A 13,448-nucleotide genomic window follows, 5' to 3' on the forward strand; every position below is an offset into this window, starting at 1 on the left:
AGTTGGGTGAATACTAGATATCACTTAAGTCATACAACTCTGTGAGGTAGAAATTATCCCAATTTTCAAGATAAAGAAATTGGAATTTGGGTAGGTTAGGTGAGTAGGCCAAATTTCTACATTTAGTAAGTATAAAGCTACCCCAGAACTTTTGTCTCCAAACTCAGTACTTCTTTTTACTCTACTCGGTGCATGCCTGTTCTGTGCATCGGGTGGTGGGGTTAGACACAGCACAAGAGGTTTTTGCCTTTATATTTTACCCTCTACATGGGAGAAGGAGAATTCAGAGAGGAGGGGAATATTGAGCTGGTCCTGGAAAAACAGTGGGCAGTGGAGACATAGGAGGGGACGACAATACAGGGAGATTTAAGAGCCAAGATATATAGAGAGAAGTTTGCTGGGATGCTTAGCAAATATTGAGTAGAGTGGTCTGGCTGGATGGGGAAAGACCCATATTGGTAGTGAAAGGAGGCTGCTTTGAAACTCTGTGTTAGTTTGGCTATAGTCCCTGACAGAGTGTGACTGTGCAGAGCCTTGAACAACAAATTAAGAAGCCTTTTTCCATGGTTGGTTAGGCCCAGTGTATTGATTGGCCGCATTTCCAGAGGTCTAGATAAGCCTGCATCAAGGAAAATTCCTTTTTTGTTGCTGTTGATGTTGAGCATGTTCTGGGCTGGCCTTTTCTCACCATTGGAAAGGTAAACAACTGTAGGATTTAGATTTGAGTTTGACAATAGGAAGTAAGGTACCTTGCTTGACCTGTGTACTTACCAGTAGAATGGGGAGAAACATAAGAATTATTTACATGGTATCTGGCATATATTTTTGGGGGGAGTTCCTAGAAATATTTAGCAACAGAATTCAAAGGGTCCGGATCCAGCCATTTAAGTCTTAAACTTTTCTTCATCCCAACTCCATCAAGAGGGAGCCCATGAATACTTCTAGCAGAGTTGTCACTTGATGAAAAGTAGTGTGATGGGACCACCAATCTGGGGCAGATGTCCTAGCATGGCTTAGAGTGGAGATCCAGGAAGCAGGAGGACCAGGTAAGAGACAAGCCAGTGGTGGAAGGGTTGTCAGGAAATCTAATAAATTTGTCCATGTATTTATTTATTTATTCATTCATTCACTCATTCATTTATTCATGTATTTATTTACTCAACAATTATGTGGGAAGAACCTACCATGTGCCGGGCTGTAGGTCAAAGCTCTGGAAATCAGAGGTGAACAAACCGGACATAATTCCTTCCCTCAAATTATTTACAGTCTCTCTTCTAAACTTATTATTCTAATATTTCGATGCAATCTTTCAGTGTTTTAGGGTGGTGGGATTTTACAGGATTTAAGACGTTTCAGCAAAGGGAGAGGGTAGTTGGTTATGTAGTGATCTCCCTGACCTTAGAGGTAGTTGTTGCACTAAGTAAGAGCCTGACTGAAATTTCTACTAAATATCTCCCAACACAGGAAGATAAGCATCTAGAATTCATGTTTATAGGATATGCATCTGAGCCTGTGATGAGACCTCTACTGGGATTCTTCTTAAAAGGAGTCAAGAAATGAAGTGAGAAGATTTTTTTCTTCTTTATTCTCGAGCAAAAACAATGTGGGATAGAGAAGCCACAGGCCAAACCCTCTTAGGAAAGCTGGCCAGGAATGCAAGCACCATGAAAGTTCTTTCACAAGAAAAGGAGAATTGCTTCCTAGGGTTATCCTGATTTCAAAGTCAAGGTAGCATGAGATTGGCTTATTTTTGCGCTGGGCTTGAAAATGTAACTGACTCAGGAGAGAAATGTTAGGACCAATTTCTGGCCTTGAGAAATTCCCTATCAGGAGGTTGGTACAAAGGTGCATTTGCAGTAATCAGCTCTTTTCTTTAGCTTACACCTCCACCTGCATCATGCAATTGCATCAATACCTCCTCAAATTCCCATAAGATTATTTTTGAGAAAACTTAATGTGTTACTATGTAACTTCTCTGAGCCTCAGTTTCCTCCCCTGTCCAATGGGGCTGATGATATTTTAGCAGCACTAAGTTGTATCACAGAAGTAATTATCCAAATATAGTACCTAGTACTTGGCTGTCACCTAATACTTGCCTCATACCATCACATCTAGGAAAGTTAAAATACCTTTTTTAAATGACACACTTTGTGAGAAAAATTAGGCCAAATATGTAAGGAAGAAATTATTAGTTATTAATATTTTCCCCAGTCAGTTTCTAAGTTCCTCAGATTATTTATCCCAAGATTTGTGGGAAGAAGCTCAAATGAGACAGGGTCTAGGAAAACCTGTTGCAAGCTATTAAGTGTTCTCTGCCTAAAAGGGACCATCTTAGACCTGAGGGGGCCTGCTTCCTTGCTTTCAGCAAGACTGCTGGTGCCCCAAAGCCAGCATCAGTGCATGGAAGAGGGCTTATGATCAGCCCTGCGTGCCTGCTAATGATGACCACAAGCGGCCTTGAAGAGGCTTTTCATCACCACACCTTGTCTTCTTCCAACTCCAATTTGTACAGCCTATGGGTTGCTTCACTTCCAGGAGCCAGACCCCAGGGGCTGTTAATAGCCAAGGTCACCAGTGTGAACCTCCGCTCATCCTAGCCAGCATGGCTGTGACTTCCCAAGAGAAGATAAAAGACTGATAGGCCCCCCCCAAGAGAGGAGAGAGCGACACTTCTCATTAACAGAGGGCCGGTCAGGGAGTAGGATGCAAATGGCCCTGATGCCCCTGTGGCTGCTGCCACTCTCATTGCCTCCTGGCACATCACGGCAGGTGGATGACAACTTGTCTCACTGAAGAACTCTGAAACTGTTTCTAGGGGTGCTTTTGGGAGAAGCAGAGGCAAATCCTGCTAGAGCTTTCTGATACCAACCCTATGGCATTTGTCCTCTTGACTCCATACCTAAGGCTTCAGCACAGTCCTCCACTTGAAATGTAGGCCTAGAGGAGGACACACCTCTGGAGGAACTCATTCCAGCTTTACTTTCTTCGAATACACAGGCACGCACACGTGCACACACACACCCCTACACACACGCACACACACACACACACACACACACACACACACACACACCTTTTTCCTATTTTTTTTAGGGCAGTGAGAGGTTCTCAAATTTCAGTGTGCATCAAAATAACCTGGAAAATTTATAAACATACAGGGCCACACCCCAGACCTACAGGGCCTAGGGAATCTATGTTTTAACCAGTTTTCCAGGTAATTCTGGTATAAATGATCATGAGATCACACTTTGAGGTATACTATTCAGGAGTTAAAAAATAATTACAGAACCTATTTTATAGAGTTTTAAAAACTGGAAGACAATTCAAAGGTATGTAGAATAGCCTTTCATTCTACAAATGAGAAAGTGGATAGAGGCCTAGGCTGTAGCTGCCTGCCAGAGTTCAAACCCTGGCTCAGCCTCTTACAAGCTGGATGATTTGGGGTAAGTTACTTAAATACCCCGTGCATCAGTTTTCTCATCTATACAACAGAAACAATATAAAATGTTACCTATCTCATGAGAGATTTTATGAGGTTTAAATGCATTCATATAGTCAAAGTTTTGGAAAAGTGCCTGGCACATAGTGAACATTCAATAAATTATTTGTATCTTTCAGGTTCAATCAGAAAAACAGGACCACTTCGAGTAGTATAGAATATGGGATATATTACAAGGCTTAGACCAGACATAATTGTGGGAACTCATTATGTTGCTACTTTAGGGGGCAGTTTCTGCTTTTGATGCTGGCCCAAATGTCAGCAGGGCTAGAAACATAGAAGAAAAGATAGACATCAAGTAGGAATAACGAGGACAGACTAGAATCTGCAAGAATTAGCTGGAACAATATGTGCTGCTTCTTCAATCTCGGTGATGCTGTTGGCCTACAAGATAAGCTGGCAGCCTGCACCATAGGGTCACACCTGCTCTTGTCCCAGTACTCAGAGAAGTTGAAAGAGGGGATCTGGCAGGAGCTGAAGGAGCTGCAGCATCAACTGTGCTCTAAACCAACCAAGTAAGCCAGCATATCAGTGACCACGTGCAAGAGCTTGTAGCTGCCCTCATTAACCTTTAGAGGATAAAGAAAATAAAATAGCCCTTCTTCACTTTCCCCTTTCAAATCTCACATGACTTGGAACATTAACTTGTGGCCAACCTTAACCTGAAATTGTATAGCCAAGGGGACTCTAAGATTTGCAGTTCCAGCTTAGCTAAGTTGACAAAGTACAAAAACCATCATATTGTCAATTTCTCTTAATACACATCAGGAAACTGAACAGAGCTGGTGAGTACCTTAGGCAAGGTCACACAGCAAATTTTTGGGAGAAGAGAGAGAGAAAGACCTAGGCTTAGGCTACTCAGCTTCTGATAGTCAAGCCTCCTGGTTGCCACAAAGAACTTAAGAAGGTGTCCCTCTGAATGTTTCTTAAACCTACAGAGGGAAAGCCCAAGGAGATGATGGGTCTGTTTCAATAATACATTCACTGAGGGACTGCTAGGTGCCAGTTAGTCTGTCGTCAGGCAGGTAGGACTCCCTTCTTTGCTTACAGAGAAGAAAACTGCATTGGTAAGTACAATAAAAGGCCAAAGAGATACATGCTTCAAGGGAGAGACAATGGTAGTGTTTTAGGGTGGAGCTTGTTAAAAGATAGGTTATCAGACCATGTCAAGTGGCTTTTGCCTAATACTCAAAGGTCATCAATCTAGATCCTATTTCTCTACCCTCTTATCCCTTGCTACTCCGCCGAAATGAAGTACGATATATGGGACAATTTACTTTGAAGCCTCTTGCTACTGTGATAACATGGATACTGTTGTTTTCTCCAACATCCATCTGAGTAAATCAGGCTAAGCATTACCTCCTTGCCACAGTGGTTGCTTCAAGTTACCCAGACCTAAGCCAGGTACTAGAGTCCATTTGGTTGCTGGTGTTGAGATGATCACTTAAAAAATTGTCTAACTCTTTGAGACCAGCCTGGCCAACATGGTGAAACCCTGTCTCTACTAAAAATACAAAAATTAGCTGGGTGTGGTGGTGCACACCTGTAATTCCATCTACTCGGGAGGCTGAGGCAGGAGAATTGCTTGAACCTAGGAGTCGGAGGTTGCCAGATATTTACTCAATGGTTGGAGGAAGTGCATTTCCTCTTCCACTAGATACTGAAAAGGAATTATCACACTGATTGTGCTATCCGCAGCTGACAAACACAGAAGGAACCAGTTGTAGCCTAGAGTCAACATTATGGATGGCAGAATGAAAGAAACATCATTGGGCCATTGAATCAACCATCTCGGAAGCCTGCTTGAACTCTAGGCTTTCCAGTTAACTGAGTCATTGTGTTATCCTGTGTTTGAAATAGTTCAAGTTGGACTTTTCCATTACCTCTTATAGAAAACGTCTGCATTAATACACGTGCCTTTGAATATGCTGAGGATATTTTTCCTCTGCTAAAATAACAGTTCTTCTTACTTTACCTAAAGTCTTCTACTTTTCTCTCAAGAACTTGTTCATTGTCTCATCCATCCCAAAGCCTTTGCTGATCTATTTCCAGAGCCTCTATTCCCACTTAGGTTCTGATGTTCTTTCAACTCTTGTCTGTTTTTCCCAGAGGTGCCAAAGACCACAGGGCTTGGTTTTATGTTGTGTCTCTATGGCTTTTGACTTTTGGTCTTTCATTGACTCTGGCTTCACTGCTGCCTTTCTGAGTCTTCCCAATTAAGAAAACTTAGAGGAGAATGCCCACACTCAAAGCACCCAGGATTGCCAAGAGAGAACCTTAAATAGAAGAGAAGGTACTGGAGTCCATTTGGTTGCTGGTGTTGAGATGACCAATTAAAAAGTTATCTAACTCTCTGAGACCAGCCTGGCCAACATGATGAAACCCTGTCTCTACTAAAAATACAAAAATTAGCCAGGTGTGGTAGCACACGCCTATAATCCCAACTACTTGGGAGGCTGAGGCAGGAGAATCCACTTGAACCCAGGAGTCAGAGGTTGCAGTGAGCCAAGATCATGCCATTGCACTCCAGCCTAGGCAACAAGAGCAAAACTCCTTCTCAAAAAAAAAAAAAAAAAATTGTCTAACTCTTTGTATGGAAAGTTTGGAATAATCAGGGACTCCTATCAAGACCTTTAGCTTCCACCATGCAAACATCATATAGGATGAATCACCTTCCGGATCTTCCAACCAGGGTCTTTGTTCGGCTTGAACAACTAAAATTAGCAGTTTATTCACGGTCCATAATGGCTGGGGAATTATTTCATACATATGGGACAAAGGAGAGGGATCCAAAGAGGGCCCTCTTCCCTAAGTCTCATTCATGAGATTCTTCTCATTGAAGAGGCACTCTCAAGCATCCAATTTGCTGCAATTATAGCAATCAAAAAAGCATTCAGTCTCCTTCCGCACCTGACAAGCCAGCTCATGCATTCTCACCAACAGTGGTGGGGTGGATGCTATTGCAGCTCCCATCCCCCTGATTCCAGCTACAGCCACTAATACCACCCTTATCCCCACACCCAGAGCTAGAGGTGGTTCACAGTCCAAGGAACTCCGTCATGTTAACATCGATGGTAGACCTGTAGCTGCCCAGATTCACATGGGCTTACTGGTTCTCTAGAAAGAGACTGGTTTGCCTTTAGTATTGGCTTATAAATATCTCTATCCCCATGGCCTGAAAGAGAACTGATGATAGATAAACTTCTCCATTATGTAAGTTTCTAAGGGCTGATAAATAAGCTCCTGCCATGATAACAGGTGCAGGTGTAGCGCCATGGAGAAGCCAGGGCCTGTCTGATTGCTGCATTGTGCCAGCATTCATGTTACTTGAATGGGTGCTTTGTGAGAATACAGTCTCTGCAGATTGCAGGGACCGGCTGCTGCTGGTGAAAGGGTGGGGGTCTGTTGATGAAAGTCCCATTAACAACACACAAATAACTCCCAGCTTCCTCTTCTCAGTTGCCTCTTTGTTCTAGGCCAATGGCTCTCAGGAGAGCTGAAAATGTTATTTAATTATTTCTAACCCCCATACTGCTGCTACTAGGACTCCTTCTGGAATATCCATTCCCAGCAAGGCATCTGTATTCATTCTCATGAGCCACTCCAGGCTTGCCAATGGATGAAAGAAGTCTGCAACCACTGTAAACAATCAGGCTGGTGTTGAGTCACTTATGTGGACCACCACTGTGCCACTCCTTCTGACCACTCCAGCTGCTCCACCTCTGACAGGCTTCCATCTACCTTGGAGGCCAGCTGACCACAGTACTTAGATCATTACTTGATCTCTCAATCCCCTCTGAGAGTCTTTGGGAAACAACATGCGAATGTTTATCATTGTTAAGTCTGGTCACTGAGCCTCATGGAAAATTCTCCCCTCTTTTCTCAATTTTCTCATTTATAAAATGGGAATAATGAGAATACTCAGACCTTCTTCAAGAGGTTATTTTGAGTCCCAAGTGAGATAATACCTGCAGAATACTGAATATTCAATTAAGGAGGTGCTCAGTAAGAGCACTACTATTTCATTACTGTTTCTCTCATGTCAATTATTAGGGTATTTTAAAATATCTTTCTCCAGAATATCTTTCTATCTCCCAATATGACGATAAGTTCTCCTAGAGCAGGGCACTTCTAAGTTTTCTGATGCGTCCACACAATTTATCAGGCAGCTGGAACATGGAATGAACACTTGCATGGCAGCCAGGAGCCTCAAGCTGGAGTCCCAGCACCACCTGTGATTACCTCATTCCTCTGTCTGGCTGTCTTTCATTAGGTCTTCTATTATCTCCTCTGTGCCCTCACTCTCCCTTCCCTTCTTAAATCCCCATCCTTCTACCTTGGCCTCACCTACTGAAATCTCACTCCACCTTCCAGTTCAAACCAAATTCCCCACCTTCTGGGAATCCCTTCCTCAGTAGCTGCAGACTACACTGGCCTGTCTTTTCCCAGACTTCTCATTCCTTCATGTTAGCACCACAATGCTTAGCAACTAGTGGCTTTTTCAATAAGAAAGATGTAGTCTTATTTATCTCTTTGCACAACTCCCTTCTCTATTGTGTTTTCCACATTTACATACCACTTTGGGGCAGAAATTGGCCCAGTGGCCAAATCTGGCCCACTTTCTTTTTGTATGGTCTAAAGCTAAGAATGTTTTTGTATTTTAAATAGTCAAAAAAAGATCAAAAGAAGAAAAATGTTTCATGAAGTGTAAAAATTACCTAAAATTTAAATTTTGGCATCTACAAATAAAGTTTTATTGGAACGTAGCCACACTCATTTGTGAAGCAGGTTCACTGTGCACTGGTTACCAACTTGTCTGAGTCTGGTAAGGCAGAAGATCCTTAAACATAACAAATTACATGAAACAAATTTATTATTTACAGATAAACAGCAAGGGATAACAGAAGTGTAGGATTGATTGTGAGCTTCTCCCCCCAAACTCAGAAAAACTGCCAGGTAAATGAGGTCTCATCTGCATGTGCCCCACTTGCATTGCTACTGAGGGACCCTGAAAAGCAGACAACCCTGGGTGTTACACCCTCCCCAGGGTATGAAAGGACACACTAGGCAAATGTGTTGAAGAACATCCCGTTTCCAGGTGGAAACTGGAACTGAGCCAGCCTGTTCCAGCCAGTCTCTCCTTGTCTCAGGATGTTGCATTCTCAGCATATTTTACAGTTATTCCAGGGAACAACAGTGAGAAGGGGAGAGAGCTGGGTTGGTTCAAGGCCACCTGGAGAACTGTCCTGCACCATGTGTCGTATATTGTTTATGGCTGCTTTGACACTACAACAGCAGTGTTGAGTAGTTGCAGTAGGGACTGTTTAACCCACAAAGCCTACATTGCTTACATCTGGACCTTTGCAGGAAAAGTTTGCTGACCTGTACTTTAATATATAAAAACCCATTCACATTTGCACATTCATTTGGTGGTCACCACAGGCCTATGGTAACATCTCCGTTTTCAGAAGCTCAGAAAAGTAAGCTGCTTGCTCAAGAATGGACGGCTTCAAGGTGGCAGAGCTGGAAGTTTCTAACTCACTCACCTCATACTCAGACCTGCACTGTTTTTCAAGACAGTCAATATTTCAGGTAACTCTTCTTTCTTGTAATCCATTTCCTATCACATGCCTCACTTAGCATCTCCAATGAGCTCCCTCAAGAAATGTGAGGTTGCATCAGTGGCTCCCTAGTCTCTCTGAAAAGTGATGTAATTGTTATCAAATTAAAGCCCATCAGTAACTGGTAAACTGCTCTGCTCTTAGCTGGCTGGGCCCACAAGTGCTTTATCTAACCAACCATAACTTCTTCCTTGGCTGACGATAAGGTTTAATTAGGAGGAGGTGACATGTTGCTGGTGACCACTGATTTATAATGAACGGCAGCGAGTTTTTTGGAGGGACAGGTAGACATGCTGGCCCCCATCCAAGCCTGCCTGCCTGAACATCTCCTAATCTCTTGCCACCCTCCCTCTTTGCCCGAGCTCATGTTGTGGGTGTTCACTGGTGTCCTTAGTCTCTGCCTTGATGGCCCTTGGTCTTCAGGCATACTCTTTCCTTGGGACATCTTTTCCTAGAGCTTGGTGATTTAGGGGAAATTATTTTCTTACACTGAGCTTAGTTTCCTCATCTGTTGAATGAGAATGATGCTTCTAGCTTTCAGCACAGTTGAAACACAGCACACAGATCACACAGAGATGATCATGTGTGTCAGTTTATGTAAAGTGTACCTAGCACAGCTCCTGGCACATCAGCAGGACTCAGTAAGTGATATTACAGAATTTTCTATGATACTACTGTATCTTTATTCTGAGTCTCAGCAAGAGTGGGCACTAAGCCTTATCTTAGGAGGTCGTTTCTTCTTTCAGGAGCTTTATGATTGGGCATGATCCTTTCTCCATCCTTTCCATTCAGTGCTCAAGTTCTCTGACACTTCCTCATAGCTCACTTGTCAGGAAAGCCAAGAATGTCTGTTGATGTGACTCCTGCCCAGGTAGGAAGTGGTGGTTCTGAACTAGAGCTGAGGTCCCTTGATAGGCTGCATGGAATGCCCTTTGTGGCCACTGGGGCCACTAACCAGGCCTTTCTCCCTCCCACAAATCAGGGTTCCCAGACTTTCACTGGGAGGGCAGTCTGCTGGAGAATTCTATCTAGCTTGTGAGGCTGATGTTTTTCTTCCATTCAGGCCATCTACTGATTGGATGAGGCCCACCAGCATTCTGAAAGGTAATCTGCTTTACTCAAAATTGATCAATTTAAGTGTTAGTCTCATCCAACAACACCCTCTAAGGTGACACATAAAATTAATTAACATTATGCGTTAGCATGCAGAAGTACTCTCCATGGTCTCTCCCTGACAATTCTTATTTTGTTTGTCTTTCTAAACAAATGTATTTAAGAGGTAAAACAACTGGGGAGCCATATGATGTTTCTTTCTCTGTTCAAGTTGGTCAAATAATACTAACATAAATATTTCCTCATGGAGAGATTAACTAACTCAATTGTATAAAGCATTTTCAGTCTACTCTCTCATTGCTTTGTCATGTAAGGCCAATGATCAACTGATCTGATGCATTCATTTTTCAGACAAGGAATCTGAGACCTGGCTGGGAGAAGAGGACTTGCCTAAAGTTATCCCACACAGCAAATTAGTTGGAAAACCAGGATAGTTGAGTAAATATCCTGGAGCCCAGCCAAGTAATGAAGCCAGAATTCAGAAAGCTGTTTTGGCTAGATCTTGGATTTTTACAATAAAGGGTCTGTAAGGGATATTTGTGAAAAATGTTGACACTTGACGGCTGTCCTGATTCATTCAGCTACCTAGGTTATCTCTGCCTCTCTTTGACTTGTGTTTTGTCTTTTAAGATGGCAGTCTTGCTCTTTTGCCTGGGCTGGTCTTGAACTCCTGGGCTCAAGCAGTTTTCCTGCTTTAGCCTCCTGAGTAGCTGGGGCTACAGGAGGACATCACTGTGCCCAGCTCTCTCCGTATCTTTGACTAGGTTATTTTACAACCCCATACGATAGAAATGAAGTTATAGAAAACTGATAGGAATACAAATAATTATTATCCATGGAAATGCAAATTGGATCTAATGGAATGAAACTGATTTTTTTTCCAGCAGATAGTGACCACCTTTGTATCCTTTTGTAAATTCATTTCAGCATTCCATATTTGACTAAAAATGTGTGACACTCCCAATTTGCTTTTGAATTCATTGTAATATCTACCAATTCCCTCATTAATTAATGAGTTAAATAAAGCCTTTGGCATGTATTTATTTTGTATCTATAGGAGAGTCATGAGTATATCTTCTTTTAAAAGGTATTCTTCAGTAGGTCTTAGGGTGCACAATACTTACATCTTATTTTCTCATTCTACACTGTTCCCACACCTCACCCAGAATAAATGTAATCTCCTGTGAGCTTCTGAACATCATGAAGAATAACAGCTCATTTTGTAAAGTCATTTAGTATTCGCCAAGCACCTTCACTTCGATCATCTCATTTGATTCCTACAATCAGCCTGGGAGAGCACTTGACATTCCCATTTCACAAATGGGGACGATGAAGGCCAGAGAAAGAATGTGCTGTATAAAACTGAGGTCTTACATATATACATGAGGCAGAGTCATGATCTCAGTATAAGTTTCCTGTTTCTAAGATCTATGCTCATCCCCTTCATTAAGTTATGTCATATTTCTGTGTGTGTGAAATGCTTTGGGTCTGGATGCAAAGCCGGGAGCAGGAGAGCTGCTATTTTAGAAAGAAAAGGCCAAGAATTTGGATGTAATTGAAGTTGTGAGAAGTTGCAGTTCCATCACCAGGATTTTTGTTATTCAGCTCCCTTTTTCATTTTTCCCCTTGAGAATAATAGCCAGTTTTACATGTTAATGGATTTAATTACTGCATAGAGATCTGAACAGATAGAAAAGTCTCAGGCAGTGATGACGCAGTGATGGTCTATTGAGCAGCATTTGAATTAATTTGGAGTTTTCAATGCTGTGATTAGCGTGGTTATTAGTGTTAATGCTTGAAGTTCATGTTAACAGGGTGTTACCGTGAATTTGAAGCACTAAAACAGGCCTGATTTCCTAGTATTTGTTTGTTTATTTATTAATCAGTCCATTCATAATTGGTACAGTGCTGACATATAAAACGCCCCCTGCATTCAACTTCTCAGCTTGACTTAATAAAGGATAATATTGGGTCTCATTTAACCCAGTGCTAATAGGTTGTCCTTATCTATTCTGGTGCCTTCCCTACTGTGGACATTGTCTCCTTTGTCCTCAGACCACCACTGAGAGACAGATAAAGCCTCAGAGCATGAAGAAACAGCCTGAACTGTAGCTTAGGATAACAGTTCTTTGTTCACTTGAACTCCGTGTGACGTTGCCAAAAACATGCCTCCTTTCTGGACTTCAGTTTTCTGCTGAAAGGAAAACTGCGCTTCAGTTTTCAGCTCAGAGGAAATACAGGGATCATCTAATCTAAACCTCTATAAAATAAGGGGTTTTGTATTTCCTTTCAGCTCTGTGGTTCAGGGAGCAAATCAAAATGGAGAGATGACTGGAGAGTCATCAAACTCCAGAGTTGTGACTAAAAGATTATCTACCCTAGGACATTAATTCTACAATAGAGGACAGTGAGATACAAAACAGGTTAGTGATGTCCAAGGTCAGACAGCAGGTTAAGGTCAGAGCCTGAACCCGATCCAGACATTTTAATTCCTAATCTTGTGCTATTTGCTTCTTTTCATTTAGTTATCATGTGGTTTTAAAATAGAGTGAATAATATATCAAACTATTTGACTCCCATAATAAAACTTGTACCTCGTTAGTATAAAATGTTAACTTTCGGTCATATTTACTCCCCCATCCCCCTCTTAATATACCATTAAACTCCAGCAGAATTCCAAACCCTGAAGTGGCCATCCTAATAAGTAACCGCCATCCTGAGATTGGTGTGTAATGTTCTTATGTGATTATTGTTGTTAATATTTTTATTACATATGAAACATCCATTTTCCATTTAATTCATTGAATATTATTCTTTTTTTCCCTCTACTGGTTGGAATTATACTTTGTATCTCTTTTCTTTTAGGTGTTACCCTTAAATTGTTAATATGCCTACTTAACATTAAAAATGATCTTCATTTAATCAAAATCTTTCTCATACCAGTATGTAAAACCACCAATAATCCAATAACTCTCATCCTAAATTCCATGTATTTGGAATTGTCGACTGTTTAATTCTACCTCTTTTAAGCATCCCAATTAGTCATTGTTTTCTTAATACTTTGTGCTTATTTGGATTTAGACACATGTTATTTATACATTTTCTTATCTAATTGCTCTAACACATTGAAGATAATATTCTATTGTCTTCAGGTTTCTAGTTTTGCTACTAAGAAGTCTGCTGTTTGTCCAGTTTGTTTTGTTGTGTATAATTCC

The 13,448-nt window shown here is 41.6% G+C and overlaps 1 long non-coding RNA gene across 1 annotated transcript; it reads left to right on the top strand.

Moving 5' to 3' along the window:
• The first annotated feature begins 8,379 nt into the window (after nucleotides 1–8,379).
• On the top strand, nucleotides 8,380–11,283 carry LINC02041 (long intergenic non-protein coding RNA 2041). The gene is made up of 4 exons (NR_146716.2): nucleotides 8,380–8,455; nucleotides 8,942–9,091; nucleotides 10,184–10,224; nucleotides 10,585–11,283. It is a non-coding gene; the product is annotated as a long intergenic non-protein coding RNA 2041 (long non-coding RNA).
• Nucleotides 11,284–13,448: the final 2,165 nt, after the last annotated feature.

This window comes from Homo sapiens, chromosome 3 (assembly GCF_000001405.40).
Source record: "Homo sapiens chromosome 3, GRCh38.p14 Primary Assembly".
Lineage (NCBI taxonomy): Eukaryota > Metazoa > Chordata > Mammalia > Primates > Hominidae > Homo > Homo sapiens.